Raw genomic sequence first — 27463 nt, 5'->3', positions numbered from 1 at the left:
CGGGCCTGGGAGTCTCAGCGAGGCCAACAGCTCTCAGAGCAGCAAAGGCCGGTACCTACTGATGAAATGGAATCAAAGGCTCCGGGGCGGCCGCCACTGCCACCTCCTCGGAGGACACGCTGGGGCTCGGCGGTGAAGAGTCTGTTTCCGGGGCCGCCTCTCCCTGGGGTGCCCCCGAAGCCTGCCTGAGGGCCTGGGGGCCATTTCCTGCATCCCGGGGACCCGTCATCACTCTCACATGGTGGTCAGGACACAGGACAAAGAAGGGCCCTTCAAAAGGATGGAGGTGGTCACTGAGGGTGGCCGGACTGGGCGCAGCTGTGGCCCTGCCCCCCACACCCCTGCCGGACAGACAACGAAGGCAACACCCACAGGAGCGGCCCCCCCAGTGTCTGCAGGCACAGAGACCCAAAGGGGCTCAGAAGGAGAGGTGGGCCCAGGGCGAGGTCCCAGCTCTGCCTCCATGTGGTGTGTGAGGCTGGCTCAGCCTCAGACCCTCGCCCTGGGCCTCAGTTTCCCTGACTGTGCGATGCGGAGCCAAAGGTGGGACCCCCAGGGCCCTTCTCCATGGACTGCCCCAGTGACCCCAGCCACTGCTGGCAGGCCCCCTCCTGCTGTGGTCGGGTAGGAAAGACAGCCTCATGTCCCCTCCTCAGACTCGGCGGCCAGCCACAAGGCCAGGGCAGCAGCCATGTCAGAGACACGAGCTGGGGACTGGCACTAGACAGAACCTCCCTTCCACTGTTTCCCAGGCACCTCTGTGTCCCTGGGGGCTGGCCAGGGTCTCTAGAGCTAAGTGACAGTGCCACACCAAGCACACCTCCCTGCCTGAAGCACCCCTCAGCCTCCAGAGGCTCCGCAGCCCACAGCCCCAGACATGCTCAGCACAGCGGGATCCAGGCTGTCACCCCATGGCCCGGGAGTGCCCCGCACAGCTGGATCTCGGCCATCACCCCATGCAACGCTCACCTTCTTGGATGAGGAGGCTCTCGTGGGTCAGCCTTAAGGCGTTCTCATCCACATGGACTTGGATGGCCGTCTCCTCCTCCTCACTGGGCAAGAGCAGCCAGAAGGCCTGGTCCATGAGCAGGTTTGCCAGGCAGTGATGAGTGAAGCCTGTGGAGGCCAGGCCCAGTCACCCGAGGGCTCCAGAAGAGGGGCAGGGAGGCAGGGAAGCCTGTGTGGTCCCAGGTCGGCTGAGCCCTGCACTGACCAGGTCCAGGGAGACCATGGAAGACACCCACCTGCCCTGGGGTGCCCACAGTGCTGGCTACACACAGCAGCCCACGGCCTGACCACCCGGGCTGTGAGAGGTCAAGCCCAGCTCCACCACCCACCAGCGGCAACCGTGGTCAAGTTATCTGACCTCTCCACGCCTCCATATTCCCCTCTGTGAGATGGAGACCATATGGTCGGGGGCCGTGCAGGCCGCAGGGGGTATGGGCCAGCAGCAAGGTGGGTCTGAAATGCCCATGTGCAAGCCCCGCCCCGCATCATGAGCTGGTATCTGTTTCCATTTCTATCAGGTGAAGCCTTGTCTCTGGGATGCTGCGAGCTCCCCCCTCTCGTCTGGGGCAGTGAGCCTTCGTTCACCGCAGCTGAACTAGGAGGCTCGGTGCACGTGTAAGGCACAGGCAAGTGATGTGAGAATCCTGCCTCCACACTCAGCGTAGAGTGGACTCTGAAAGAGGGAGACAGGAAGCCTGCTGCCCTCTGGATGGACATCCCCCCACAATGGCCATCACTGTGGATGGGCAGCCACAGATGAGCCACTTCCTCCAAGAACCGGATCAAGAAGCCCACGTCCACAGTGGGATGAGCCTCAGCCCTGCTCACCGGTGCTTGGGGAATTGTGGCTACAATTCTTACTCCCTAACTCACTTAGCCCTCAAATCAAGGGTGGTGTCGCAAGATCCCCAGGGAGGCTCCGTTAGAGCCTGGAATTCCTCCAAATGGAACAGGGAATGTGCCAGGAAGAGCTCACGTGGGTCAGCTTTCAAATAACAGCTTTCCCGGTCAGCACTGAGGCCACTGGACGGCAGCTTCCCTCAAGTTCTGGTTGAGTGAAATTACAGAGGGCAGAGTGTGAAGGCAACTAGAAGCACAGCCTAAATCATTCCTGCAACAAAGACCCACATCCGTCTACGACTCCGCCTACCCGGCATTTCTCCCTGAGCACCAGGTGCGCACACCAGTGTTGTTATCTTGCTAGTGAGGCCTTTGTGAGCCTGCCTGTTCTAAAGCACAGATTCATGGCTCATGCCTGTAATCCCAGCACTTTGGGAGGGCAAGGCGGGCGGATCACCTGAAGCCAGGAGTTTGAGATCAGCTTGGTCAACATGGTGAAACCCCATCTCTACTAAAAATACAAAAAATTTAGCTGGGCATGGTAGCTCGTACTTATAATCCCAGCTACTCAGGAAGCTGAGGCAGGAGAATCGCTTGAACCCGGGGAGCAGGGGTTGCAGTGAGCTAAGATTGCGCCATTGCACTCCAGCCTGGGCGACAGAGCAAGACTTCGTCTTAAAACAATACATCAATAAATAAATAAACAAAGCACCAGTTTGTAATCTAAGTGCACGGTGTGTAACCAGCACCTTCCGACGGGCGTCCCCATGACCAATTCTGGGAGGGTCACCTCTTTACCGAGAGCATGGTAGGTGGAAAACTTCCAGATTTCTTCAAAAGTCTTAAACGTCACCACGATCCGGTCCTGGTCACTGTGGATGGACAGCAGCCTGGCTGATAATTCCTTAAGAGAAAGAAATAGGAATTCGAGAGGTCCCCAGGAGCTCTGGGGCATCTGTCAGGAGGACAGCGTCCACATGACAGAGACATCTTGCAGATGTGGCCCCGGCGGGGGACGACACACCCAGGGCAGATTCCTTCACAGCCCAAGTCAGCTCCTCCCCTGCTCTCAAGCCAGCCGTGGCTCCCCAGAGCCTGTGGGGAGAAGCCCCTGCCCTTCCCAGAGCTCACGTGGCCCCCATGCCCTGGCTCCTCACCCTCTACACCTCCCCCTCAGCACTCTACCTGCCTTATCCCCCACACACCAGTGACCGCCGCTTCTCCCGACCTAAGCTGGTCCCTGTTCGGCTGTGCTCTCAGCCCTGAGTGGCCCCAGCCCCACCTGCAGCATCAGCTCTGATTTCCATCCCCCCGCCAGCATCCCCTCTCCTCTGATTTCTATTAATCAGTGTTGATAGGGGCATGAAAAAATAACAGCAGCTAACACTGGAACTCTTCCGACTCGGGAAGTGTGTGTCGGGGGGTACTATTAGAGTCTCCATTTCAGAGACAAAAAATAAGGCCCCGTTTCTTTCTTTTTTTTTTTTTTTCCAGAGATGAGGCCCCACTCTGCTGCCCAGGCTGGAGTGCAGTGGCATAACCATGGTTCATTGCAGCCTCAACCTCCTGGGCTCAGATAATCCACCCATTTTACTCTCCCACAGGTGCACACCATCACGCCTGGCTAACTTTTTAAATTTTTTTGTAGAGACGAGGTCTCCCTATGTTGCTGAAGCTGGTCTTAAACTCCTGGGCTCAAGTGATCCTTCTTCGTCGTTCGCCCAAAGTGCTAGGATTACAGGTGTGAGCCACCATGTCCCGCTGAAGGCCCCATTTCTTATTCAAGGTCTGACCTGTCAGTGGCTCAGCTGAGATTCAAACCCGGAGCCAGCATGCTGACCCAGTTCACCTGTGCCCGACATCATGCACGACAGCCCCACGTGTTGAGCAGGTACTATGTGTCCAGCAGCCTGCAGGTGCTTGGTGTGAGTTAATCACATAACCCTCAAGTCAGCTCCCGGGGACGTAATTCTAAGCATCCCCAGTATGTGGCTGAGGAAGCGGAGTTCACAGAGGCTAAGAGGCACCGGCCAAGGCCAGGCTGGTCCAACCCCAGTCAGTGGTGGTAACGCCCAGCCCAGCTCCCAAGCCCCCAGCCCTCAGCCATGGGGAGGTCTGCCAGGTCAAGACACACCCTGTGCCAGCCTCCCCAGAAGGCTGGTATGTGCAGAAGCCCACAGGAGGCTGGCTTTGTCACCAGAAAAAATAAGACTAACTTCACACTTGTCCTTAACTCCCCATCAAAGAGACTTTGACAGTCCTTGTGGGTGGAGGGCAGGTGGAGAAAGGGACAGCTCGAGGTCCCCTGTTGCTGGGGCTGTGGGAGAGCAGAGGGACGATCACAGTGCCCTCCACAAAGCAAGTGGGAGAAACAAGCCCTCGCCACCCACTGGGTATCACAGCCGCCCCTCCAAGGCCACCACTGTCCTGAGTGGCTCTCGCTCTCTGAGGCCTGCCTCCTGTGTCCCCAGTCTCAGACACTGCACCTCAGCCCCTCCCTCCCCCTGACTCCAGCTCCCATCCCTGAGCAGGCCCCAGAGGGCTACTCACCCCAAGCACGCGGGCCATCTCCCGGCTATCATTCTCCAGCAGGCGGAGCTGGCCCCGGAGGGTCTGCTGTAGGCCGGGGTCCCGCAGTCTGCTCTTCCTCCGCACAGCCAGCAGCTGCAGGGTCAGGTCTGGAGGGGCAGACGGAGGTTGGGCAGTTGGTCTGACCTGGGCTGGGAAGTCTGTGGGGCACTGTACTCCACCTGCCAGCCTCCAACCCACACACCTGACCCCGAAGGCCTGGGCAGTGAGCTCCTGGGGAGCCCAAGCCCCGGGTTTAGATCTCAACCTTGCCCCACCCCTATAAAGGCCTTGGACCACTGCCTAGCTCCCAGCCTGTTTCTTTCGGGGTGAGTGCCTGTCCTGTGGAGTGGTGGGGACAAGTGGACTCATGTCCCCTGCAGGCCAGGCCGGCACAGAAACCACTGCGCACAGATGGTCTCTCCTCCCTGTCACCGTGACCTCCAACCCCTCCCCTCAGCGCTCCGCCCCAGAGGGTTGCTGCATTGGAACTTGCGGGCACAGGACCTGGACAGCCGCACTTAGCAAGCTCCTCCTCCACGCCCATGGTGACTGTAAGGTGGGGAGTCTGGGACCATGGGGGCACCCACCTCCAGCAAACACGCCACAAGCACCTTGGAAATCTCAGTTCTGCCTCCCTAAGCCGGCTCCTCTCCACTTCTTCCCTGTCTCTCAGAGGGCAGAGGGCCCCCACCCCTGCTCGGATCAATGACACCTCCTACTCACACACCACATCAGCCACCAGCAACCCCATGGGCTCCACCCCCCACCCCACTCCTGCCCCCATCGTGGTTCTGAGCCTTGGCGGGTCTGACCTGGGCAGCTGTCCACACCTGGCCCTCCCTCCTGTCTGTCCCCTGGTCTGCGCAGAGCCATTGGGACCCCATGGCAGCATGGTCCGACCCATCGGCCCTACTCTGGGCCATCCCTGTGGCACCATCCAGCGGAATCTTCCGCAGGGGTGGGCACGTGCTCTGTCTGCTGTGTCCCATTCAGGGGCCACCTGCCACGGGGGCTGTGGAGCTCCTGAGATCCAGCCCCCTCCTCAATGTCTGAGGTTGGCAATTTCCCACTAGAATCCAGGCTCCTGGGGCTGTGACCCCATCTGCCCTATGCACTATCCCTTCCCAGTGCCTGGAGACGCTGAGAAAAAAGTGTTCCCAATCCTCCAGGTCAAGACTCGGCCCCAGATCTCTAGGCAGTGGCATTCCAGGGGCTTTGGCCTCTGCAGAGCATGGCTGCCCCAAGGGAGAAGGTGGGGAGAGGGGAAGAGAATGAGGAGTAGAAGGGGAGAAGGAGAGCAGGGAGAGGGGAGACACCGGGAGGGGGAGAGGGAGGGAGAAGGGAGAAAACGGTGCGGGGGCGGGTGGAGAGGGAGGGAGAGGGGAGAAACCAGGAGGGGGAGAGGAAGGAAGAGGGGAGAAACCAGGAGGGGGAGAGGAAGGAAGAGGGGAGAAACCAGGAGGGGGAGAGGGGAGACACCGGGAGGGGGAGAAGGAGGGAGGAGGGAGAAAACGGGAGGGGGAGAAGGAGGGAGGGGGAGAAAACAGGACGGTGGGGAGAGGGAGGGAGAGGGGAGAAACCAGAAGGGGGAGAGGGAGGGAGTGGGGAGAAAAGGGGAGGAAGGAGGGAGGGAGAAGGGAGAAAACAGGTGGGGGGAGAGGGAGGTAGAGGGGAGAAACCAGGAGGGGGAAGAAAATGGGAGGGGGAGAGGGAGGGAGGGGGGAGAAACCCAGAGGGAGAGAGGGAGGGAGGGGAGAGAAACCGGGAGGAAGAGAGAGAGGGAGAGGGGAGAAAATGGGAGGGAGAGACAGATGGAAATGAGACAGAGACAGAGATGGATTCTCACACCTTTGAATAAGCTTAAAGCACCTGCCTGAGAGTTTTCTGCTAGGGGACCCTTGAGCAAACACCCTCACCCCCTATGGGGGAAGGGCCAACCGGGCCAACCTGGAGACTTCTGGAATCTGGAATCCACTCCCCCAACAGGAGGCACCAGCCCATCATTCCACAATGGTTCCTGAGCTGTGACGGCCTTTTTTTTTTTTTTTTTTTTTTTTTTTTCAGAAGTTGCCCAGGCTGGAGTGCAATGGCGCAATCTCGGCTCACTACCTCTGCCTCCTGGGTTCAAGTGATTCTTCTGCCTCAGCCTCCCAAATAGCTGGGATTACAGGCATGCGCCAGCTAATTTTTGTATTTTTAGTAGAGATGGGGTTTCACCATATGGGCCAGGCTGATCTTGAACTCCTGACCTCAAGTGATCCACCCGCCTCGGCCTCCCAAAGTGCTGGGATTACAGGCGTGAGCCACCGCGCCCAGCCTGCATTTTCAAATTCTAAATAACGGTCCTATTGCCTAATGCGTCCTGGTCATCCCGAGTGGCCACCAGCAGTGCTGACCACACAAAAGGAAAGTCAAAGGACAGTCGGGCATCACCGCCAAGGGGCAAAGCCAGCAATGGATGCTGGGGTCTCCATTCCTCCCCAGCGGGGGGTTGGGGGGTCTCCAGGGTAAGGGGCTTCTTACACCTTCACAGCCAGCAGCTTCCTGGGCCCCCTTTGTGGGCTCTGCTCCCCGGCCCAGGGCTGCCTCCCTCCACCTGTGCCCTGCGGCGATCCCATCCCTGGGAAGCCTGTGCCTGGACACCTCACCCCACGACGCAGTGGGTACTTTCGTCTACCTCTTACCATATGGCACCTGTGAAGCCCCTCCCTGGGGTGTCACCCACGGAGCCCCCAGGACCGTGTCTGCCGTTTGTGCAGGTGCACACAGGGATGCCTAGGGGAGCCCCAGGGGCCATGTCCCCCTCTGGGTGCAGGACCTGGGCATGCGCATTTAACAAACCCTTCTTTCTATTCCCATCATGATTTTAAGGTGGGAAGTCTGAGGCCACACTTTGAGAAGCCCTGGGTTGGACTCTTGGATGCCCAGGGAGCGGCACAGCCCGGATTTGAACCTGAAGCCCTGTGTAGGGCCCAGGATGTTTACCTGTGGGATAAACCCCCATCTGGCAGGGAGGGGTCCCAGCAGCAGGCCCAGCCACGCGGGCAGGAGGAGCCTCGTCTGCAACACAGCAGGTTCCCAGGATTAGGGGAGACCAAGCAAAGGCCTGGCTCCTCTGAAGGCGCCAAACGCTCCAGGTCTCTCTGCAAGAAAAGAGGTGAGTTCTGTCCCGCACGAGCCGCCTTTCCCACAGCTGCCTTCCTCCAGTCTCCCCAGAGCCCAGCAAGGAGGGAAGCTGCCTGCACTTCCCAGCATGCTGTGACAAGCTGCCCCACACTCAGAGGCTTAAGACCACACGACTCGTATGATCCCGCCGCTCTCAAGTTCCAATGGGCCTCACAGAGCTAAAGTGAGGGTGTGGACAGGGCCCTGTTCCTCCCAGGGGCTCTGGGGAGAATCCACTCCTCGCCTTCAAGAGGCCGCACACGTCCCTCGGCTTGTGGCCGCCACTTCTACTTCCGCTTTGTCACTGCATCTCCTTTTCTGCCTCTCCCTCCTGCCTTCCTCCTACAAAAGCCCTGTGATTCCATGGAGGGCCCACTGGAGCATCCGGGATCATCTCTCCATCTCGAGATCCTTGCCTTTGATCACATCTGCAAAGTCCCCTTTGCTGGATGAGGTAATGCAGGCGTAGGTCGTGGGGATAAGGACATGGGCATCTTTGGAGGACTTTATCTGAGCCCACAGACGGGCTCAGCCTCACAGCTTGTGCAGGTAGGAGCCAGGACATAGACCCCTACTGGTTGCTTGGTTCCCTGCTGGGGGTCACCCCTCTGGCCATTGGTCCTGCAGAGTTTGCATCTTGGCCTGGGCACTTCATCTCTGTCCTGCGCAGTTTCTCTATCCAGGCCTCAGGATCCAGGGGGATCTGATTAGGAAAACCTGCAACTGCAGCAGAGAGTAGTGAACTTCTGTGTGGCCGGTCTTCACAGCCTCCTAGACGTCTCACTCAGAGCCCTGGGCGCCGCACAGCCACAGTGGTCTTGGGCCTTGCATTGGGACGGTGTTCACTTCACACCCGCATTTGCTGACCACCTGCAGTGGCGTGCACTCGCCCGGTGTGGCCAGAGCCCATTCCTAGGCCTCACTTGCTCTGCAGCCCCAGCCCAAGCCCAGAGCTAGGCATGCAGTGGGGGCTCAGAAATGTCTCAAATGGGCCGGGCGCAGTGGCTCACGCCTGTTATCCCAGCACTTTAGGAGGCTCAGACAGGTGGATCACCTGAGGTTAGGAGTTTCAACATGGTAAACCCCATCTTTACTAAAAATACAAAAATTAGCCGGGCAGGGTGGCGCACACCTGTAGTCCCAGCTACTCGGGAGGCTGAGGCAGGAGAATCACTTGAACCCAGGAGGCGGAGGTTGTAGTGAGTCGAGATCACACCATTGCACTCCAGCCTGGGCAACAGAGCGAGACTCCATCTCAAAAAATAAAAAAAAAGAAAGAAATGTTTCAAATGGAAAGAAGTATGTGGTGCTCAGATCTTGACTCCGTTGGCCGATGCACCTGACAGCGGTAACCGAAACACACCCCGCAGATGCCCCCATGGGCTAAGAAGAACGTGTGCTCGGATTTTGAGCTAAAGAATCCAGCAGCAGCCAGCCTGGAGATTCACTCCCTGTCTGAAGAAGATCTGAGCCCCTGGCTCATTGCAGGGAATGCAGGCCATGCAGATCCTGCCCCTTTGCTTGGAAGGGTTGGATGAGGGTTGCCAGGTGGAGGATGGTAGAGGGAGGGTGCTAAGGGAAAATGCTACATCAACTGCATGCTTTTCACAGGGGTCCTGTCCAGCCCGCCACTGCTGAACCACCCTGTACGCAAGTCCTCTCAATCAACCCTGTGTCATGGTCGCTGGCTCTGGGTCTCCTCTTCAGTCTCTCAAACAAGGTGCCATCCCTATTGAAGTTGATAGAGTTCCGGCCCAACAGCTTCTAAACACCATCCTCCAGTTGAAAAGCCAGGGCTCCCTGGAAACACGGGGCTGTGGATATGGCCGATCCCAGGGCTATGGCAGGGAAAGTGCAAGATAAGCCTGGAATATCTCATGTCCCAGAAAGTGAGGACGCACCCACTAAGTGACGAAGACACAGGGAAAGCCCAAATCTAGGGTGATTTGAATGACAAAATAGGTAATGATGTATATAGTATGGAGATGCAATTAAAGATGTGTGAGCCTACAATGAAATAAATCAATGGATAACTGGGGAGCGGGACAGCTCTTCCTTAGAGTTGAAAGCTGATTGCTGAATGGAGAAGGGTTGCCTAATTAGACAGTCACTGCCTGGCAGCCTCTGTCGCAAGGATTATTTCAGCCAGGCCAGCCCATGATGAGACAGTAGCGCTTCATGAATTTGATGAGGAACAGGATATTCACGCAGTTTCAGAGTGTTGTCCCCCCAGCTACTTACTAACTGCAGAGGGGAGAAAAATAACTGTGCAGTGGGGAGAACTGGCAGCCGCCCCTTCTCCAAGGGACCAAAATTAGCGTCACCAGCCAGAGACTAATAGACATCGTCTGCACTGAAGAAACATCACTTCTGCGGGATTCCTGCCCAAATCCCTAATGTGATCGTGAAGAAATAGTAGCTGCACTCGAATCGAGGGACATTCTACAAAAGATCCAAACTGTATCCTTCAAAACAGCAGCCTCCAGATTAAAAGGTACCTCAGAGAGGTCGCGGTCACGTCAGAACACAAGGTGTGACCCAGGAATTTTTTTTTTTTTTTTTTTTGCTATAAAGGATATTATTGGGATAAATGGCAAGATCTGAATGAGGCCTGTAGATGAGGTGATGGTGTTATTAAAAGCAGGGAATTAACATTGAAATAATTACAATGCGGTTATATAAGAGAATGTACTGGTTTTAGGAAATATGGACACCTTTTAGGATGAAGGGGCATCATGTCTGCAATTTACTCCCAAAAGGATCAGAAGAAAATCACACACACACACACACACACACACACACACACACACGAGTACACACACAAAGTAAAAGTCCTAAAATGCGAACATTCAGGGAACCTGGGTATGGGCAAATGGAATTATCTGTACTATTTCTTGCCACCTTTGATGTCTATCTGAAATTGTCCAGAGAAGACGAGGAGGTGAAGGAGCTGATGAGGAGCCCCACCCCAAGCCAGCTTTCCCTTGGCCAAGCAGGGAAAGTTTCCTCAGCTCCCCTCCGCTCGGTCCACAGAGATTCACTCCAGGGAGAGGCGATGCCACGGTGCTTTGCTGAGCCTCCGGAGGAGGAAACACCCAGCCACTCAGGGCAAAGGCTTCCAACTCCTACCACTCCCCTTCCCAGAGGCTCCCAGCTCCTCCCTGGGCCCCGCGGCTCTGTGGGAGGCTGGCCAGGGCCCTCCTGCGCGTCTCAGTCTCCTTGTGCACTCGTGGCCCTGGGCACAGCGCAGCCCCTTCCTTTCATGAGGCCTGCCCTGGAGGGAACGCGATTCCATGGCCAGGTGGGCTCCCCAGGCCCAGGCCCCACCCCAAACCTCTGAGCCGCCCTTCCTGCCCAGGCATGCCAGTGCCTGCAGACCACTTCCCCTTTGTGATCAGTGCAGGAGGCCATCCACCCCCTCCCATCTCCACCCTCAAGCAGAAGGGCAGGATCGCAGGTATAAAACACTCCCACACCTGGCTGTGAGCCAGGCGACAGCATCTGAGGTTTCCACGCCACTGTCCAAACACATCCTTCATTCATCAATCCCTTGAACAGTGACGAAGCACCTACCATGTGCCAAGCCCTGGAGTCCCAAGACAGGGACATAGGCAGCTAAGAGGAGACTGGGCTGAGGCTGGACACTGGGAGGACGAGGCCCAGGGACGGGTCACAACCGCAGCTGTCTCCTGCCGGGAGGGGCCGTGCAGGCCTTGGTCTCCCCTGCCTCTCCCCTCGTCCCCTTCAGGGTCTCAGGATGGGGGTAAGAGGGGATCCTGGAGATCACCTAGGTCACTCTTCAGGTCTCCCGGGAATTCAGGAAACTGGGCACACGTCCTGGCCCGGCCCCTGACCACAGGGTGGCCTGGCCCGGCCCTTCCCTCTCTGCACCTTGGGTGCCTCCTGGAGAACGAGGATGCCTCATCCTGAGGACTCTCAGGGGTTCCAAGGCCAAACCCATCGGACTGTTTCTGGAACGGTCTCTGAACATGGGGGTTCAAAGGCCCCTGCCTCGTTCTTTGCCAGTTTTGTTATCACTGACGCGTCCCTGGAAAAACACGAGCTGGGCCCTGGCCTCTCAAGTGACTCAGCGGGCACAGTGGCTCCTGTTAAACACACGCGGGGGAAGGAAACGAGAAGTGATGGAGAGCAGACTCCAGCCCCAGCCCCAAGAGGCCTGGAGGCAGGCAGGGTGGTGAGGGATGGATGGACGGGGCGGGTGGGGTGGAGAAGTGGGTGGGATGGAGGGCGGGTGGTGAGGGTGGAATGAACTCACCGCCTCTCACTGGCGCCTTGGCCTCCTCGGGCCCCGCTTTCTCCCAGCTCACAGAGGGCCTCATGACCACAGTCCGGACCTGGTCCCGGGTGCTGCCACCTCCTGAGGGTCCCACAGGACCCCTCCCCATGGGGGTCGGCTCCTCAGTGGTCACGGCAGGGAGGTTCTCCATGACCCGCAGAGACCTCACATGCCTGGCCCTGTGGACAGAGGGGGTGTGGTCAGGAGAGGTGGCCCCTCCAGAACCAGCACGGAGGTTGTGTCCAGGCCTGGGGTCCAGAAAGAGAACACCAGCGTTGCTGAGCGCCTGCACCTTTCAGATCCAGCGAGCCCCTCACCGCACCGTGCACCGTGTTGTGGTGGGCGTGATCCCGCACCGCTGCTGCGCCTCCCCTCCCTATCTCGGGTTTGCTGTGCTCCCTTCCTCCACGGGGCCTCCTCTCGCTGGTTTTCTGCCTGGAGTCCCCTTCCCTGTCGAGGCAGAACCCCTGGGTGCCTTGTGCCCCTCCTCAGGAGCCGGTCACTGCCTCTTTGCTGGGCCGTCACACCCAACAGACCGTGCTCCCGGAACAGTGCTCCGTCGCCTGTCAGAAGACACAGAAGGACACATTCGAGTCCCCCTTCCAGCGTCACAAATAGGCACAGGGGCCATGGGGACGGCAGCCTGGGCCAGGGCTGAGGTGCACAGGGGACAAACCCCAGCTGTGGCCGCAGGGACGGGGTCAGCCACGTCCTCCTCAGCTCCGGCCTCAGACAGAGGCGCTAATAAGAGAGGAGGATGGCAAGCACATAGTCAGAACCCTGCTGTCCCCAAAGGGAGGGCTTGGTCATGGGGGGCCTCACTGTTCACTGATTGTGGGTGGGGAAAGGTCCACCCTGCCCCTCCAGAACACCATGGCCAGGGCAGTTTTCAAGTCCAGAGCCTCGGGGAGCAATGGGGATGCAGAGGAAGGAAAAGGGGTTCCATCCGTGCCTGATGTGTGGTGAGAAGATTTTCCCTGCTGCTGTCTAATACAGGCTCTGCTGCCCCTGCTTGGTGAAATGTGAGGTGGGGAAGAAATAAGCCCAGCGTGCCCCGCAGCTCCTGCCTCCCATCTCCCCGCCCAGCAAGATATTCTGAGCAAACACTGGGACAGACTTTCCGGTGCGTGGACTCGTCCCCTTGCTCCTGGCTTGAAGCCCCTCAGTGGCCAGCAAACATCCCCTCTGCAGGCAGGGCATGGAGAACCGGGACGGCCATGCCTCTGACCTCTGTCTGGGAGCAAAAGTGCAAGTCTGGCCTCCTGCTGTCCTGTCACCCCTTTTGTGGTGGATGCTGGGGGGCAGGGCACCCAGGGCTTGCCAGGGCCTCCGTCCGGGCCTCAGAGCCCTGATGGGCCCACGAGGCTGGGGCCTTCCAGCTGCCAGGACAACCCCCAGAGCCTCCTGTCCTTATCCCCATCTCCCACTTCCACCCTGCTCTCTGGGCGGGGAACGTGGCAGGGGACTGGGAGGCAAATCAGGCAGCTGTTGGGGGTGCGTGGGGTCTGCAGTCAGGGACAGAGGACGCAGCTGTGAAGGGGAGGCAGGAGGCCCTGGACATCGAGCACCTGGGAAGGGCAGAGAGGCACCCCTGGGAGCTTCAAGCCAGGAGCAGGGGGACGAGTCCATGCGCCACAAAGTCTGTCCCAGTGTCTGCTCAGAATGTCTTGCAGGGGCGGGGAGATGGGAGGTAGGAGTTGCGGAGATGCTGGGCTTATTTCTTCCCCACCTCAGTTTTTTACCAAACAGGGCAAGCTGGGCCTGCGTTAGACAGCAGCACGGAAAATCTCACCATACATCAAGCACAGATGGAGCCCAGTTTCCTTCCCCAGCACCCCCAGCCCTCCCCCGAGGCTCTGAGCCTGAAAACCCAGAGGCGGTCAAGACTGACCTCAGGACAGTCCCAGGACAGTAGGTGCCAACTGGCACACCTCCTGGTACCAGACACCTTGGTCCAGCAACCCCCAGGGAAGGCCTACCTCCCCAGTGCAGAGATGGGGAAACTGAGGCTCTGAGGGGCTAGGCAATTCTCAAGCCTGTGTGCAAGCACACACACACACACACACACGCACCCGCACACCTGTCAGACCAAAGCAGAAGTGCACACTGAAGCTGCCATCCCTGCCATGCCTTTTCCCACCCACGAGCACCTCCTCCCTCCCCGCACTGCTCTCGGCTCGGGCCACCACTGTGGCGACAGGTCCCTTCACAGAGGCTGCTCCCCAAGAGGCAGCTCCTGTGTAATGTTTAGTACAGGATGAGGAAACCCTCATGGGGGGCAAGTTGGCTGCAGACAGGGACGAGTGGGTGTCATGTAAGCCCAGCCATCACCCCTGCCCCCATGGCTGTGGCTGTCACCCTGAGAACTGGCCTCCCAGGCCCCAGCTCACCTCATACCTTGGGCTCCATCAGCAGAGCAGGGGCGGGAGGAGCCCACGGTCTAAAGTCCTTGGTTTCAACAACCACCCACCTCCCACACAGAGGGAGGGAGACCCAGGCCTGCTAAGTTGGGAATTTCGACAGAATAGTGATGGTTCCGTGAGGGAGGTTCTATGAGGCATAGAGAGGGTCCCCTAGCTCTGGCCGGGGAGGGAATCCCACAGTCAGGGAAGGCTCCCTGGGGATGCTCAGAGTGCAGGGCCTCAGCCGGATCAGCCCCGGGCCAGCAAGGCTTGCAGAGGCGACAGCCCCTGGCTGTGAAGTGCCCCGGCACCCCACCTTCCATCTGCACACCTGCTCCAACTGTAATCTGATTGATCAGTTTGTGGCCAAATCCTTCCCACCCCCCAACCACCTCTGAGGGGCAGGGACCAGGACCTGTGGGGGCCGGGAATGGTGAATCAGGAGACATCTGACGCCAAGAGGCACCCAAGAGACCCTCCGGGGAAGCTGTTCGCCCAGGAGTGGGAGCAGGGTGCAGCCCATGAGACTTGCTTTCCAAAGGAGGAAGCGTGAGTGGAACTGCGGACGCAGAACACAGCCTCACTGATCAAATGCCCTGTGCAGCCTGGGGCCTTCACCCTCCCTGTTCCCATGTCCTGGGACCCTGGTCACGCCTGGAGAGCTCTGGGCACCTTCAGGGGCAGTGCAGGATGCCCTGGCTGCCCTCGCCCAGCCTCGGACTTTGCTTTCTCCTCCTTGCTCTGCAGGACTGCGGTCCTGGCACCTGTGGCTGCCTGTGCCCACCACCTGGCCCTGAGTCTGTGGCAGCACCAGGAAGCCCCTGCCTGCAAGGCCAGGCTGTCTTCCCATCTCCTCTCCGGAAGCACATGGAGGCGTCTCAACAAAGCGCTGGAATCCACTCCCTGGGCATGCGAGCTCCCTGGTTTAAGGGGTCTTTCGCTCCGAACGCCTGACCTTGGAGTCCTTGTCCTCCCATCTCTGCCTTTTTGTCCCTCAGAAGCTGGGTCTTATGTCCCTATAGGCAGAGCAGGAGTCCCAGCAGCCTCTCTCCATCCACTGGCTGATGCCCGGGACACCTGCCTGCCTCCCAGCCCACCACCTCCCCCTGGGTTAGGAACAGGCCTGTTCGAAACGGCATCCAGGGCTTCTCCGGGCCTGGCACACAGCTGGTACTCAGAGACTGTCTTCTGAGAAAAGGAGGGCTCCCCAGGCTCAGGGAATTTCCCACCTGCTGTTATAACCCTAAGCGTGGGATTCCTGTGCAGAGCCTGGCGATGAGGAAGTGAGCTCCTTCTCCACAGCGTCCCCTCCCTCAGCCCTGCAGGCCCAGCCACCACTGCACAAGCAGAGGCCCCAACCACGGGCAGGTGTTGACGCCCCCAGGGGCCAGCTCACCCAGCTGGGGGACCACCAAGCAGCCTGCAGGACTCTCTCCTTCCTGCCTTCATCCTGTTTGTTCAGTTTATCATCAGGACAAACCCTTGGGGGGCCCTGGATGGGTCAGAACAGGCTCCAGCCCCAGGCCAGCCTCCAGCCCCGGGGGAAGGGGTGGAGTTTGGCTCCAGAACACGGAGACGTGGGGCCAAACCCCGGTGTCTGGGAGGCCTCTCCATGCCTCAATTTACTGAGCCAGAAAATGAGAATGAGCACGCACACCGCACAAGTGGGTCGAGTGGGTTAAAGGGACAGTGCTCCTGGTCCACAGTCAGAGTTTGGTGAATGTGGGTTGGAAGAAGAAGGGAGAGGGCCGCGGCCAGCCCTGAATGGGTTTGGGAAGCTTTGGCCAAGCTTTCGCCAGGCTCTTACGGAACAAATACTTCTAGGGCCATTGAGACCTCACCTATGCCACCAAGCACCTCCGGAGGGTTGGCTTGTCACCTCGCATCCTGGGGTGACACTGTCCTTTCAAAATTCATGCCCCCAGAAACCTCAGAATGGGGCCTTATTTGGAAATGGTCTGCGCAGATGAAGCGACCTTCCCTTGGGATGAGGGTGTTCCAGATGAGGATGGCCCTAAATCCAGTGCGTGGTGTCCTTGTAAGTAAAAGAGAGGACACGGAGACACACAGAGGAGCCGGGCAGGAGGCCATGTGACCACCAGGGCGGAGAGTGGACTGATGTAATCACAGCCAAGGAGCGCCCTGAGCCACAGGCAGCGGGAAGAGGCAGGGAGGAGCCGCCCAGTAGCCTTCTGAGGGACGCCTTGAGTTCGGAATTCCGACCTCCAGAGCCGCGAGAGAACACGACCGAGAGGGCTGTGTCCTGCGCTCTGGCAGCAGGGGAAACCGGCGCACCCGTGCGCTGCTGGGCCCTGCCTTGCTCTTCTGTGTTGTGCGGCCATCGTCACCCGTGTTGCTGGAAGAGTGAGTGACGTCTCCATGCAAAAAACGCTGGCCCAGCGCCCCACACGGGACACAGTTGTCATCACTGTCAACAACAGTGTTGACAGTCACATAATTATGGCCATCCAGGGTGCTCACAGCATCCTCGGCTCACCTGGAGGAGGGAGGCACAGCTGTGCCCCTTTCACGGATGAGCCATCAGCTGCGGTGACTCTGCCTGCCCAAGGTCACACAGCCAAGCAGCACAGGTGGGGTTGAACCCAGGTGGTCAGAGCCCAGCCCCCACATACCCATCCTAAACCCAGACCTGACTCGGGCCCAGCCTTGCCTCCAGCCACAAGCTCAGCCGCAGCCCCGCTGCCTGGCGCTGGGAGGCCACACCCTGAGTGGCCGGCCCACATGCAGGCTGCCCCTGGCCCTGGCACTGGCCGACACCGCTAACACCCCCCAGCGTCACTTTGCTATTCATCTCATCTGAGCCTCGTCAACGGCAAAAGGTTGGAAACTCCCGCTTCACAGACAGGGCAGGGCTCCCAGGGCTCCTGGGGATCACGCACAGGCCCAGAGGGGGTCTCAGTGGTGTACACACACAGGAGCACACGCCCCGGCACACCTGCAGTTGAAGGCTGGGCCCAGACCCTCCCTGGAATTTTCAGGCTGAAGCCCCTGGTCCAGTTGCTGGTCCATTTGGTTGTTGGAAAAGAGGCCCAGGTGGCGGCATCAGAGTGGCCAGTTATAGCCACTGCGGTGCCGGGTGAGGCTGAGGCGCTGGGCTCGCCCTGGTAGGTCTGGTAGTGTGGCCCAAGCTAACCGGGCGCTGGGGTCACACCTGAGATCCGCTGGACTTGGAATCCAGCGACAGGCTGGCTCTGCTCCCAGACCCCCAGGGCCGCTCATGCCAAGGGCCAGCACGGGGTCAGGCCAGGTCCCAGAAGCAAGGGTGCTTGGTCAAAGCTGAAATCATTGCCCTCAATCACTGCGGATTGGCACTGCCAGCACCTGTGAGCTCTGAGTGGGGTCTGCTGAGGGTGCCGACGACCTCCCCGAGGCCCCCAGCTCGCAGTTTCGCTCCACCCCCATCCCAAACAGGTCAGAAAAGTCCTCAAGAAAGTGTAAAGATCCAACCATGGCAAGACTGGCAGACAGCAGCCTGCTCGGCCAGTCCACGCCCCGCCTGCCCCGGAGCCCCCCATACCTGCGGCGTGTTCCTCAGAGGCAGCTCCCAGGCCCACAGGGCCGTAGCACGCAGGAACCAGGTGGCCGCTCCTGGCCCAGCGCTGGCTGGCCCCACGGGGCTGTCTCCAGCTGGACGGAGCAGGCAGGGGCCGCCCACAGCCAGGCTGACTGCACAGCGGCCTCCGCCCCCTGCTTCCTGCCCTACTTCCTCCCTGCGCCTGAGGGCCGGTGACGGAGAGGCAGGCCCAGGGCGGCTGCACAGACACCGCAGCCGGTTGATCATTAGCTCTTTCCTGGACGAGGTCCAGGCCCTGTCCTGCCTGCCCGCTGCCCAGCCCCCAGGCTCTGTAGTAGAGGCTAGGGGCACCCAGTCCCCCGCCAGGCTGGGATTGGGGAAGTCCACCAGCCACCGGCTGCCTCAGCCCTGCCAGCCTCAGCTCTGATCTCTGTTCCTCTTCCATTTACTGCACACACACACACACGCATGCCTGCACACATACATGCATGCACACACACACGCATGTGCATGCAGACACACATACATATGCATGGGCACACAGAGACTCACAAGCACAAGTGTGTGCACACATGGACAGGCACACGTATGCACACAAACGCTCACGTGCAATTTCTTCCGTCTCTGCCCGGGTGCCCTCCGGGCCACTGGCTCCATCAATGGGAACATTTAGGGGAAGAGATGGGCTCCCCTCCTCCTCACCGCAAGCTCTCCTTGCTAGCCTGGCCTGTCCCAACGGGTCTACCTCTTTACCCTCCCACCGTCTCCAGGCCTGAGCCAGGTTTGAGAGCAGAAACCTTCCCAGCCAGGCAGACCCAAGGCCAAAGCACGTAATCTCGCCCCTGCCTGCTGAGGAAGCCTGGCCTGGGCTCACGTCAGCTGGGACAAGAGGCAGAACTGAACTCAAATTGCCCTGTTGGTCCCGCCTGTCTGCCTGCTCTGATGCCCTTGCCAACACAGGAGTGTGAGCACCCACGTGGTGGGTGTGGGCTGCGGGCTCCGGCCCAGCTCTAGGAAGTGGGAATGGGAGGGATCCCTCCAGCCTGTGCTGTGATAGGTCGGAGCTTTACACACACCTGGTTTGAGAAAACCAAGAATAATCCCTAAGTCAAATAGTTATGTATCCATCTCACAGACAGGAAAACTAAGGCTCAGGGAGGTAATGTGACATGCCCAAGGCCAGTGACCAACAAGAAGATAAGACTGGAACCAGGTCTGACTGGTTCTGAAGGCTTTAGGGCTGGGCTTTTCAACCAAGGCACTACCGACATTTGGGGCCGCATCCTTCTTTGTTGCAGGGCGGGGGGCTGTCCTGTGCACTGGAGGGTTTTAGCTGGTCCCTGGCCTCCACCCACTGGATGCCAGTAGCCCCCTCCTCTAATCATAGCAGCCAAACATAGCTCAGATATTGATCCCCTGGGGGTGAAGTCACCCCAGGCTGAGAACTCCCAGCCCAGGTGAGCTACTCAGGTCAAAGCCCCTCCAGCCCACACCTGCGTCCTTCATCCTCGCCCTCCCGTCCTGTTCACCTTTCTCTAATCACAGGCTCTGCCCAGGGGCTGACGCTTACCTCAAGTCCCTGCATCCTGCACGGTGAGCCCTCAAGTCACACCCTCCCTCCGCCCCACTGAGGCCAGGGCCCGGGATCGGGGGTGCAGCTGCAGATGCCCTAGGCATGCCCCTCGCTGCCCTGAAAAGAACTCGAGGATGGCCCAGGTGAGGCCCAAGCCCCTTAGGGGCCCAGCCTCCAGGCTCCCCGGCCCGGCCTGGCCAGGCCCCACCTTCCATGCCATCAACATGCTCAGTGAGCACACGGTGGGTTGGAGGGTTCAGAGGCACCAAAGGACACTTTGAGAGAATCCCCAGTGGCAGCAATCTGAAAGTCTGACCCACAGGCAGAGGGGCCGCAGCTCCCAGACCAGCTCTTCTTCCCTGCGGGGACACGGCTCCCCAGCCCCGGCTGCGTCTGAGGAGGAAGATGGTGTTCTCTCTGGCCTCGTCGAGGGGCAGTCACTCTATCAGTTTCATGGGGCTGCCACAACTGTGTGCCACAAACTGGGGTCTCCAGACAGCAGAAATGTCATCTCTTACAGTTCTGGAGGCCAAAAGTCCAAAATCAAGCTGTCGGAAGGGCCATGCTCCCTCCAGAAGCTCCAGGGGAGGCCTCTTCCTGCCTGCTCCAGCCTCTGGGGCTCCAGGTATGCTCCGGCTAGAGGTGGCATCGCTCCAGTCTTTGCCCTTGTCTCCACCCAGCCTCCTCCTCTGTGTCTGTGTCTCCTCTTCAGTCTCCCTTAAGCGCCCTGTCACTGGATTTGGGGTCCACCTAAATAACCCAAGATGATCTCATCTGGAGACCCTTAAGGAAATTATATCTGCAAAGATTCCTTTCCCAAATAAGGTCAGGTTCACAGGTTCAGGGTGGTCCTACCTTTTGGTGTCAGCTCGGTACATAAGCTGTGAAGCAGGCCTGGGACAGTGGTTAGAAACATTGGCCCCCAATCACAGCCCCTCAACCCCAACAGCCTGCAGTCCCTGCAGCCTGCTGTCCTCTCAGCCCCCTCCTTGGGCCTTGGGGATGGACGATACAAGGTCCAGGGACCCCATCCTGAAGCCCCTCCTGGACTCCAGCCCTCAGCACCCCACCCTTCCTTGCAGACACCTGCCAGCCCCATCTCCCACCTTCCTTCTCCCATCAGGGCTCAACTTTCTTCCTGCCCAGCCCCCACCAGCTGGAGGCCTCTGTCCAGCTCCCTCTGCCTCCCCTGTCTCAGGGGACTGGGTAATGCTTCCACCCTTGACAAAGGTCCCACTGCTGAAGCCCAGAGCACTTTGGGAGCTGGATTCTACTGGCAGCTTCCCTGTGGAATGGGTGCAACTCTGGGCACCCACCTCTCCTCCATGTGGGCTGCTTTCCTGGGTGAGTGGCCACCCCCGAGGCATCTGCCACCCCAGTGCCCAGGACCTGTGGATGCCCACAGAAGCACCCAACATCACCCCACCCCACCCCTCCAGGTCTTCCTCTCCCCACGTCCCCACCAGTGCCACCTGTAGCCTCTGAGGCTCCCTCCCCTGCTCAGCGAGTCTTCTCCACCGAGGGTCACATTCGTGCCTCGGGTCCAACACATCCATCAACACAACCTCATGGAGTGGTCACTTCCTCCAAGTAGCCCTGGGTGTCAGGCGGGTGGGGACGTGAGATCTGTGGCCAGGCCCTGAGTCATCGTAAAGATTAAATTAGACTCAAGGACTTTTCTAACAAGCCAAGCACAGGTGCACACCTCAGTTGCACTGAGATTCTGTGCATGTAACAAATGCCCGTGCCGGGTCCTCTCCGCAGCCTTGGCCCAGCGAGGAGCACAGAGGGGCTGCGCTCGACAGGCAGGTGGGGAAGAACCGACGTCCCTGGGAGGTTAGCGCCTCCTACCAGTGCCCTGGCCTCGTCACCCCCATCACGGGATGGGGCTGCCCTGTGCCCCTGCTCAGATGATGGCCCCAAGGGGCTGTGGGGAGAAGTGGGGAGTTGGCGCCCAAGACCACCTGTGTCAACTTGCTGCCTGCCTGTGGCACCTCCTTCTCTGGGCCTCAGTTTCCCATCTGTGACCTGAGACTCAAAGCGGGTGCCCCCAGTTCTCCAGCCTGCTCACACCTCCACCCCTTCTCCAGAGTAGGCAGAACACATTTCATCTCCTGGCCAGAGATGCTTGGCTTCCCCTGTGTTTGTTTTTCTGGAAGCTACGTTGAAAAAAGCCCCCAGACGGGCTCCACATCCACACACGGGTCTGGAGACATTTCCTCTCCTGGCCATTGTCCCCTGCTGTGGCTGGAGACCCCGTATCCTGTTTGTCTCTGCAGCTGTACTTCTGGCCCAAGGCCGGGGGAATTTTCCAAGAGCCTCCCCAACTGCACAGAGCACCCCGACTCCACACAGCACACCCAGCAGCCTCCTAGAGGAAGGTGCCTGAGCCTTCAGGGCTGGGGGCTTTCCAAGCACGCCCAACTGGAGGCTGCAGACACTGGGGCAGAAGCACACACAGCCCTGCCTGCCAGAGGACCTGTCCGAACCCCAGCTCAGGCTTCAATTCTCCCGGGACAATCTGTCACTCCTCTGGGCCTCAGTCTCTCCATCTTGCAAATGGTAGAGTTGGGCTTGGAGATTTCTAAGTGCCCTCCAGTTCTGCTCCCTGATGTGGTTGTAATAAATTCAAATTGTCACTTGCCAAGAAGATGCTCAGTCCTTCACAAGGATTGTCATCACATGGGGCTTGCTGATGGCGCCACCAGCTTGACTGTCTCCTGATGCCTGCTGGTGAGTATCTCCTGATGCCTGCTGGTGAGTGTCTCCTGATGCCCGCTGGACTGATTCACAGAGGGTCTAGAGGAGGCATGACCTGCCCAGGGCCACACAGCTCCTATGTGGCAGAACCAGCCCAGATCCCAGTCCTTCCAGCACCAAACCTGTGTTCCTCACCCCTCCCTCAACTGCCCTCTGGGGCTTTCTAAGGTGTGAGTGGAGCAGCCGGAGACAAAGGCAGTGGTGCCCTCAATTGCCGGAAACCCCGGGAAGCAAGTCCTGCCCAGGAGTCTGGGGTTTTCCAGGGAACCTAACACCCACTCCTTCGAGCACCAAGCTCCAGAGTTAATCTTTGCAATGGTGCTCTGGAAAGCAACGACCGTCCTCTGTCCCTTTCCTGATCTCTGGGACCAGCTGGTGTTTTACTGAATTATAAGGCAAGGTGACCCATCGCCAGGGTGAGGGGATAGTCTTAGAGTTTCTCCATCTCCCCACCTGCCTTTTACACCAGATTGTTCCCCGTTTCTGGCCTGCTCCGGGCTGGGAAGCTGCTGAACAGGTATGTTAGAGTTAGAGAGAAAACAAAACAAGCCACCCTGACCAGAGGCTTTCCCTGAGGGCGGAACAAGCTCATTTTCAGCAAGTGCTTCCCATCCCAGGGTCTGGCTGCTCAGGAGTCTGGGCAGACAAGGTGCCAGGACACGATTTCTAGCCAGCACTAGAAGCGGCAGGCATGGCCACGATGGCCTGGGAAACGCGAGTGCGCCTTCAGACTTTTTCTGTGACTCTCCCAGGTCGCTCAAAGAAGCTACCAAATCTGTTCCTGTGTCCTTCCTTCAGGAAAGCCCAAATCTGGCCCACCTGGGACAGAGCAGCGTGAAGCCCCCAGCCACACCCTTCAGCTGTGGCTTTTTAGCGCCACCACCAACACCCCCCGCCGCCCCTTTTAATTATCCATCTCGAAGGTCCCAGGACAGCTCCTAGCCAGAGCCTCGGAGGCACACCCTGAGTGCTGACCAGGCTCCCTGAGGCCCGAGCCCCAGGCTGCAACTCAAGCCAGGGGTGCTGGCTGGGGAGCAGGGGCCCTGCCTTCTACCTCCCGCACGGGTGGTGGCTTTTGTCTTTGCGTTTTTCAGCCTCCTGCAGCAAATGATGACAGCTGCAGTCATAGGAAGGCACAGGCAGTTTCTGGCTTCATCACACTGTCTCAGAGCATCTTCAGTTCTCTGCAGTGAATCATCTTGGGCTCAGAAGGTGATCCGGACCTGCCCCCATACCAGCAGGGGTCCTGGGGACTGCATCCCTCACAGGAAACTGCACTTCTGAGGGTCGGTCCCACTCCCCACCTCCAGGTAATGCTGCTTTTTGCAGCTTGGAGCCCCACCTGCCACTGGCGATGGCAGCACCCCCATCTCAGCTCTGCTTTGTGGGACCCTACCTGTCCCATGGTTTGGCTGCTCACAGGAGGAGCTTACAGACAAGTGGAGGAAACTGACTGGGAAACAGATCAGGATGGCAAAGCATGATTGGTGCAGCAGCAAAGGGAGGCCTGGGAGGAAAGAGAGGAGGATGAAATCAAGGAAGGCTTCCTGAAAGAGGAGGCATCTGGGCTGAGACTTGGAGGGAGAGGAACCAGGCAAAGCAGGGGCGTAAAGGGTTTCTCAGGGGTCAGGGCCAGCTCAAACAATTGTGCTCCTGGCAGGCAGTGAAGTGGCTCCCACAGCCACTTCAGGGGACTATGGACACTGGTAGCCAAGGAGAGGCCAGCATGCTTGCACCCCAAGGGGTTAATCTACAATGCCATAAAAGTGACTCTCAGGAATGCGGAGGCCAGGGGCTAGAGGCTACCCATACTCTCCCCACTTTCGCAGGCTGCTGGTTCTCCCATTGGCCCTGTCCAGCAGAAACAGGCGCGCAGGAGCCTCCAAGGTCGTTCTAGAAGAGGGGAGGCAAACGTGCTCTGGGTAGGGCCGGGGGATGCGTATTTGGCTTTGCCAGCCATCAGGTCCGTCACAACCCTGCCCTTACAGCAGGAAAGCAGACAGATAGCAGTAAGTGAACAGGTGTGGCCATATGCCAAGAAAACTATCTATTATACAAGACAGGGGGCCAGATGTGGTCATGTGGTTTGTGGACCACAGAGCTGAGGCTGTCTTGTGCTGTGAAACAGGCTTGAAACATGGTACATCACGTCAGGCCCCGCTTCACTGCTCCACCCTGGTCATGCCTGCAACTGTGCAAATATATGCACAGAGAAGCCAATCACCAGGTGGCGACATGAACCTAAACTCGGAGCAGAAGAGAAGGCAACAAATAAAGACAAGTGGGCCGGGCACCGTGGCTCACGCCTGTAATCCCAGCACTTAGGGAGACCAAGGCAGGTGGATCACGAGGTCAGGAGTTTGAGACCAGCCTGACCAACACAGTGAAACCCCACCTCTACTAAAAATACAAAAATTAGCTGGGCGTTGTGGCACACGCCTGTGATCCCAGCTACTCAGGAGGCTGAGGCGGGAGAATTGCTTGAACCCAGTAGGCAGAGGTTGCAGTGAGCTGAGATCATGCCACGGCACTCCAGCCTGGGCAACAGAGTGAGACTCCATCTCAAAAATAAAATGAAATAAAATAAAATAAAATAAAATAAAATAAAATAAAATAAAATAAAATAAAGACAAGTGGTTGGATAAGAAGATTGTAATTTACAACCTTCAGGCTTACAAATGGGGAGACTGAGGGGCAGGGCGAAAATGACCTTTACCCAAGGTCACAGGAAGGAGAGTTCCTGGTGATTCCGTGGCCCTTTCATTTTAAAGGTGACTGAGGGCCGGGCGCAGTGGCTCACGCCTGTAATCCCAGCACTTTGGGAGGCCGAGGGGGGTGCAGATCACTTGAGGTCAGGAGTTCGGGACCAGCCTGGCCCACATGGTGAAATCCCATCTCTAATAAAAAAAAATACAAAAATTAGCTGAGTGTGGTGGCAGGTGCCTGTAATCTTAGCTACTTGGGAGGCAGAGGTGAGAGAATCACTTGAACCTGGGAGGCCGAGGTGGCAGTGAGCCGAGATCGCGCCATTGCACTCCAGCCTGGGTGACAGAGCAAGACTCCGTCTCAAAAATAATAAATAAATAAATAAATAAATAAATAAATAAATAAATAAATGTAACTCAGAGATCAGCTCCTGCCCCTGGAAAACACAGCCCGGCCGGACCCCAGCTCCACGCTGAGCAGCCCCGTCATCTTTCCCGGCCTCCGATTCCTCCTGTATAAAATGCTGTCTCTGCTGAACGCAGTGTTTCCCAGAAACACAAACAAGCAAAGATGGCCCCGCACACCTCCCAAGGCATTATCAAGCCCTACTCAGACCCAAGAATGGGGGGAAGGACCTGCACAAATCTCTCCTGAGGTTCCTTCCTGAGTTGATTCCTCTGCGCACCCAAGTTTGAGGACGGGTGTATCCGGGCCGGCATGATAAGCCGCTAGCCTGGAGCCCCGTACCAGCTGGTGCTGGAATGGTAGCATGATGAGTCATCCCCCGGAAAGGGCTAGGACGGTGCCCTATTCAGCAGCGCTCACACCATGTGTTATTTCTGGCCTTTGCTGCTGAAACCGGCCCCTGATCAGAAGAGCAGAGCTCTAGGCCCCATGATTTCAGGAACTGCTCTTTGCAAAACGAGGACACGGGGCTCATAGGCTTTCCAGATGACTGATGGCCACCCCAGCCGGATGGGTGGCTGGGCCGCCGGGTCGGAGGCCTGCAGGAAGTGGTCAGCAGTTCTCGTGCCTGGGCTGGAACTGAAGACACCCACCCCCGAACTGGCCGGAATGTCCTGATTTGTCGGGGCAGGCGTCAGCCTGGAGCCCAGGGAATCGCTGACTCTGCGGCCCAGCAGGTCCACAGTCCTTCCTTCTCCCTGGGTCTGCCTGACCTGCTGACCAGGTGCCTGAGACTCCTTAGCACAGTGCTCCTCATCTGGGGGTGGTGAGGGAAGCGAGCTGTTTCCCCAGAGGAGATTTCAGAAGAGGGACCTTCCTTCCTTGGAGGAAGCTGACCAAAGAGCCCTCACTGCCTACATAGGAGCCCCCACAGCAGCCCTGCAGCTCCCGCCAGTCCTCAGCATCTCCACCTTTAAAACCACAAGGAACAGAGGTGCGGAGAGGGTAAAATCACAGAGCCAGGGCTGGGCGCAGTGGATTACGCCTGTAATCCTAGCACTTTAGGAGGCCGAGGCAGGAGGATCGCTTGAGTCCAGGAGTTCAAGACCAGCCTGGGCAACATGGTGAAACCCGTCTCTACAAAAAATACAAAAAAATTAGCTGGGCATGGTGGTGCGTGCCTGTAGTCCCAGCTGCTCGGGAGGCTGAGGTGGGAGCATTGCTTGAGCCCAGGAGTTGGAGGCTGCAGCGAGCGATAACCACACTACTGCACTCCAGCCTGGGCGACAGAGCCAGGCTCTGTCTCCAAAAAAAGATCACAGAGCCAGAAGAGGCCAAGCCTCAGAAACACCCTGTGGACCAGCCGGCTGGTGGGGTGTGGGTGACCGAGAGAGTGCACAGAGGAGAAGGTCCCAGATGAGGGCACACAGCAGGGGCTGCAAGGCTGCCATTCTCCCAAGAGCCCGGGGACATCAGATCCCAGCTTACAGATGAGTCCCCCCAGGACCTCCAATCCCATAGGCCCGAACTCCTCAGAGCCCCAACTTTCCTGAATCAGGGGTGGGACCCCAGCTGGAATTTTGGCATTCTGCAGAGCCCAGTGATGGGGGTTGATCCTGACCTTGGCTTACACAGTCATTAACCCAACCCAAGCACACAGTCCCCCAACTCCGCCGAAGGAGTGAAGTCCTCCCAGCTGGGAGCCATCTCCTGGGAGCTCGAGGCTCCGAGGCTGAGGTCACAGCAGGCAGAGGGGAGGAGGGCTCCAAGGGGGATTCCTGCAGACTCCCTGCTACCCACCTGGACTGGGCCAGATGTCACGGGGAGCACACTGGTGATCGCAGGCACCTGCGGCCAGTGCTGCCGCCTCCCAGCAAAACCTCAAGTGCTACTTTCCAGGCCCTACTTCCTGGCCTCGCATCAACGCACCCACGCCGCGCTCCCCAAAACTACCCAGGCACAGGTCACCAGTGTTTTCCACGTGGCCAAGCCCAGCAGTCCCTTCCCGGCTCCCTCTTCCATGTCTCTCTGGGCCACTGGTCCACCCGCTGACCACACCCTTTGGACACCTCCCGTTTCCCAGCCTCCTCCTCCCTAAAGGTCATGCCTTCTCTAAGGGCCACACTCTGTGCGGGGAGCTCACGCCGGCGGGGTCTTCAGAGCCATCTGCTTTCACTGAGGTCCCCAGGCTGCAGCTCAGA

The 27463-nt window shown here is 58.6% G+C and overlaps 1 protein-coding gene across 17 annotated transcripts in view, besides 18 other annotated features; it reads right to left on the bottom strand.

Annotated features, from left to right (window-relative positions):
- Positions 1–27463, bottom strand: part of SH3TC1 (SH3 domain and tetratricopeptide repeats 1) — a 59032-nt gene that overhangs the window by 23877 nt on the left and 7692 nt on the right. For 6 of the 17 annotated variants that reach the window (XR_007057930.1, XR_007057931.1, XR_007057932.1 and 3 more), the window contains exons 1-6: positions 17822–17937; positions 7405–7479; positions 4399–4526; positions 2647–2752; positions 970–1116; positions 60–270 (exon numbers count right to left, since the gene is read on the bottom strand). Coding sequence is in view for 11 of the 17 variants with exons in the window: in XM_047415790.1 (XP_047271746.1) it covers positions 60–270; positions 970–1116; positions 2647–2752; positions 4399–4526; positions 7405–7423 (611 nt within the window). In the remaining 6 variants the exon portion in view is untranslated. Of the gene's footprint in view, positions 1–55; positions 271–969; positions 1117–1984; positions 2056–2646; positions 2753–4398; positions 4527–7404; positions 7563–11860; positions 12061–12173; positions 16654–17821; positions 17938–27463 lie in introns of those variants that run through there. The other 11 variants (NM_018986.5, XM_047415792.1, XM_011513488.1 and 8 more) reach the window with 9 other exon arrangements.
- Positions 699–1262: an enhancer, noted in NCBI's record as "H3K4me1 hESC enhancer chr4:8217692-8218255 (GRCh37/hg19 assembly coordinates)". NCBI's record gives its function as "activates a minimal SCP1, AML or CMV promoter by ChIP-STARR-seq in naive H9 embryonic stem cells {active_cell/tissue: H9 hESC(naive)}" and the evidence as "EXISTENCE:reporter gene assay evidence [ECO:0000049][PMID:30033119]".
- Positions 1263–1827: an enhancer, noted in NCBI's record as "H3K4me1 hESC enhancer chr4:8217127-8217691 (GRCh37/hg19 assembly coordinates)". NCBI's record gives its function as "activates a minimal SCP1, AML or CMV promoter by ChIP-STARR-seq in primed H9 embryonic stem cells {active_cell/tissue: H9 hESC(primed)}" and the evidence as "EXISTENCE:reporter gene assay evidence [ECO:0000049][PMID:30033119]".
- Positions 7446–8210: an enhancer, noted in NCBI's record as "H3K4me1 hESC enhancer chr4:8210744-8211508 (GRCh37/hg19 assembly coordinates)". NCBI's record gives its function as "activates a minimal SCP1, AML or CMV promoter by ChIP-STARR-seq in naive H9 embryonic stem cells {active_cell/tissue: H9 hESC(naive)}" and the evidence as "EXISTENCE:reporter gene assay evidence [ECO:0000049][PMID:30033119]".
- Positions 10334–10833: an enhancer, noted in NCBI's record as "H3K4me1 hESC enhancer chr4:8208121-8208620 (GRCh37/hg19 assembly coordinates)". NCBI's record gives its function as "activates a minimal SCP1, AML or CMV promoter by ChIP-STARR-seq in primed H9 embryonic stem cells {active_cell/tissue: H9 hESC(primed)}" and the evidence as "EXISTENCE:reporter gene assay evidence [ECO:0000049][PMID:30033119]".
- Positions 10834–11335: an enhancer, noted in NCBI's record as "H3K4me1 hESC enhancer chr4:8207619-8208120 (GRCh37/hg19 assembly coordinates)". NCBI's record gives its function as "activates a minimal SCP1, AML or CMV promoter by ChIP-STARR-seq in primed H9 embryonic stem cells {active_cell/tissue: H9 hESC(primed)}" and the evidence as "EXISTENCE:reporter gene assay evidence [ECO:0000049][PMID:30033119]".
- Positions 10903–10992: an enhancer, noted in NCBI's record as "active region_21290". NCBI's record gives its function as "activates an Ori minimal core promoter by ATAC-STARR-seq in GM12878 lymphoblastoid cells {active_cell/tissue: GM12878}" and the evidence as "EXISTENCE:reporter gene assay evidence [ECO:0000049][PMID:35858748]".
- Positions 11023–11072: an enhancer, noted in NCBI's record as "active region_21289". NCBI's record gives its function as "activates an Ori minimal core promoter by ATAC-STARR-seq in GM12878 lymphoblastoid cells {active_cell/tissue: GM12878}" and the evidence as "EXISTENCE:reporter gene assay evidence [ECO:0000049][PMID:35858748]".
- Positions 14741–14790: an enhancer, noted in NCBI's record as "active region_21288". NCBI's record gives its function as "activates an Ori minimal core promoter by ATAC-STARR-seq in GM12878 lymphoblastoid cells {active_cell/tissue: GM12878}" and the evidence as "EXISTENCE:reporter gene assay evidence [ECO:0000049][PMID:35858748]".
- Positions 15651–15860: an enhancer, noted in NCBI's record as "active region_21287". NCBI's record gives its function as "activates an Ori minimal core promoter by ATAC-STARR-seq in GM12878 lymphoblastoid cells {active_cell/tissue: GM12878}" and the evidence as "EXISTENCE:reporter gene assay evidence [ECO:0000049][PMID:35858748]".
- Positions 16591–16740: an enhancer, noted in NCBI's record as "active region_21286". NCBI's record gives its function as "activates an Ori minimal core promoter by ATAC-STARR-seq in GM12878 lymphoblastoid cells {active_cell/tissue: GM12878}" and the evidence as "EXISTENCE:reporter gene assay evidence [ECO:0000049][PMID:35858748]".
- Positions 16871–16920: an enhancer, noted in NCBI's record as "active region_21285". NCBI's record gives its function as "activates an Ori minimal core promoter by ATAC-STARR-seq in GM12878 lymphoblastoid cells {active_cell/tissue: GM12878}" and the evidence as "EXISTENCE:reporter gene assay evidence [ECO:0000049][PMID:35858748]".
- Positions 17051–17100: an enhancer, noted in NCBI's record as "active region_21284". NCBI's record gives its function as "activates an Ori minimal core promoter by ATAC-STARR-seq in GM12878 lymphoblastoid cells {active_cell/tissue: GM12878}" and the evidence as "EXISTENCE:reporter gene assay evidence [ECO:0000049][PMID:35858748]".
- Positions 17731–17920: a silencer, noted in NCBI's record as "silent region_15258". NCBI's record gives its function as "represses an Ori minimal core promoter by ATAC-STARR-seq in GM12878 lymphoblastoid cells {active_cell/tissue: GM12878}" and the evidence as "EXISTENCE:reporter gene assay evidence [ECO:0000049][PMID:35858748]".
- Positions 18131–18250: an enhancer, noted in NCBI's record as "active region_21283". NCBI's record gives its function as "activates an Ori minimal core promoter by ATAC-STARR-seq in GM12878 lymphoblastoid cells {active_cell/tissue: GM12878}" and the evidence as "EXISTENCE:reporter gene assay evidence [ECO:0000049][PMID:35858748]".
- Positions 18601–18700: an enhancer, noted in NCBI's record as "active region_21282". NCBI's record gives its function as "activates an Ori minimal core promoter by ATAC-STARR-seq in GM12878 lymphoblastoid cells {active_cell/tissue: GM12878}" and the evidence as "EXISTENCE:reporter gene assay evidence [ECO:0000049][PMID:35858748]".
- Positions 24118–24167: an enhancer, noted in NCBI's record as "active region_21281". NCBI's record gives its function as "activates an Ori minimal core promoter by ATAC-STARR-seq in GM12878 lymphoblastoid cells {active_cell/tissue: GM12878}" and the evidence as "EXISTENCE:reporter gene assay evidence [ECO:0000049][PMID:35858748]".
- Positions 25203–25727: an enhancer, noted in NCBI's record as "H3K27ac-H3K4me1 hESC enhancer chr4:8193227-8193751 (GRCh37/hg19 assembly coordinates)". NCBI's record gives its function as "activates a minimal SCP1, AML or CMV promoter by ChIP-STARR-seq in primed H9 embryonic stem cells {active_cell/tissue: H9 hESC(primed)}" and the evidence as "EXISTENCE:reporter gene assay evidence [ECO:0000049][PMID:30033119]".
- Positions 26780–27305: an enhancer, noted in NCBI's record as "H3K4me1 hESC enhancer chr4:8191649-8192174 (GRCh37/hg19 assembly coordinates)". NCBI's record gives its function as "activates a minimal SCP1, AML or CMV promoter by ChIP-STARR-seq in primed H9 embryonic stem cells {active_cell/tissue: H9 hESC(primed)}" and the evidence as "EXISTENCE:reporter gene assay evidence [ECO:0000049][PMID:30033119]".

Source organism: Homo sapiens, chromosome 4 (assembly GCF_000001405.40).
Source record: "Homo sapiens chromosome 4, GRCh38.p14 Primary Assembly".
In the NCBI taxonomy this organism is placed as follows: Eukaryota; Metazoa; Chordata; class Mammalia; order Primates; family Hominidae; genus Homo; species Homo sapiens.
The sequence above is the reverse complement of the archived record's forward strand: the minus strand, read 5'-3'. Positions and strand labels throughout refer to the sequence as shown.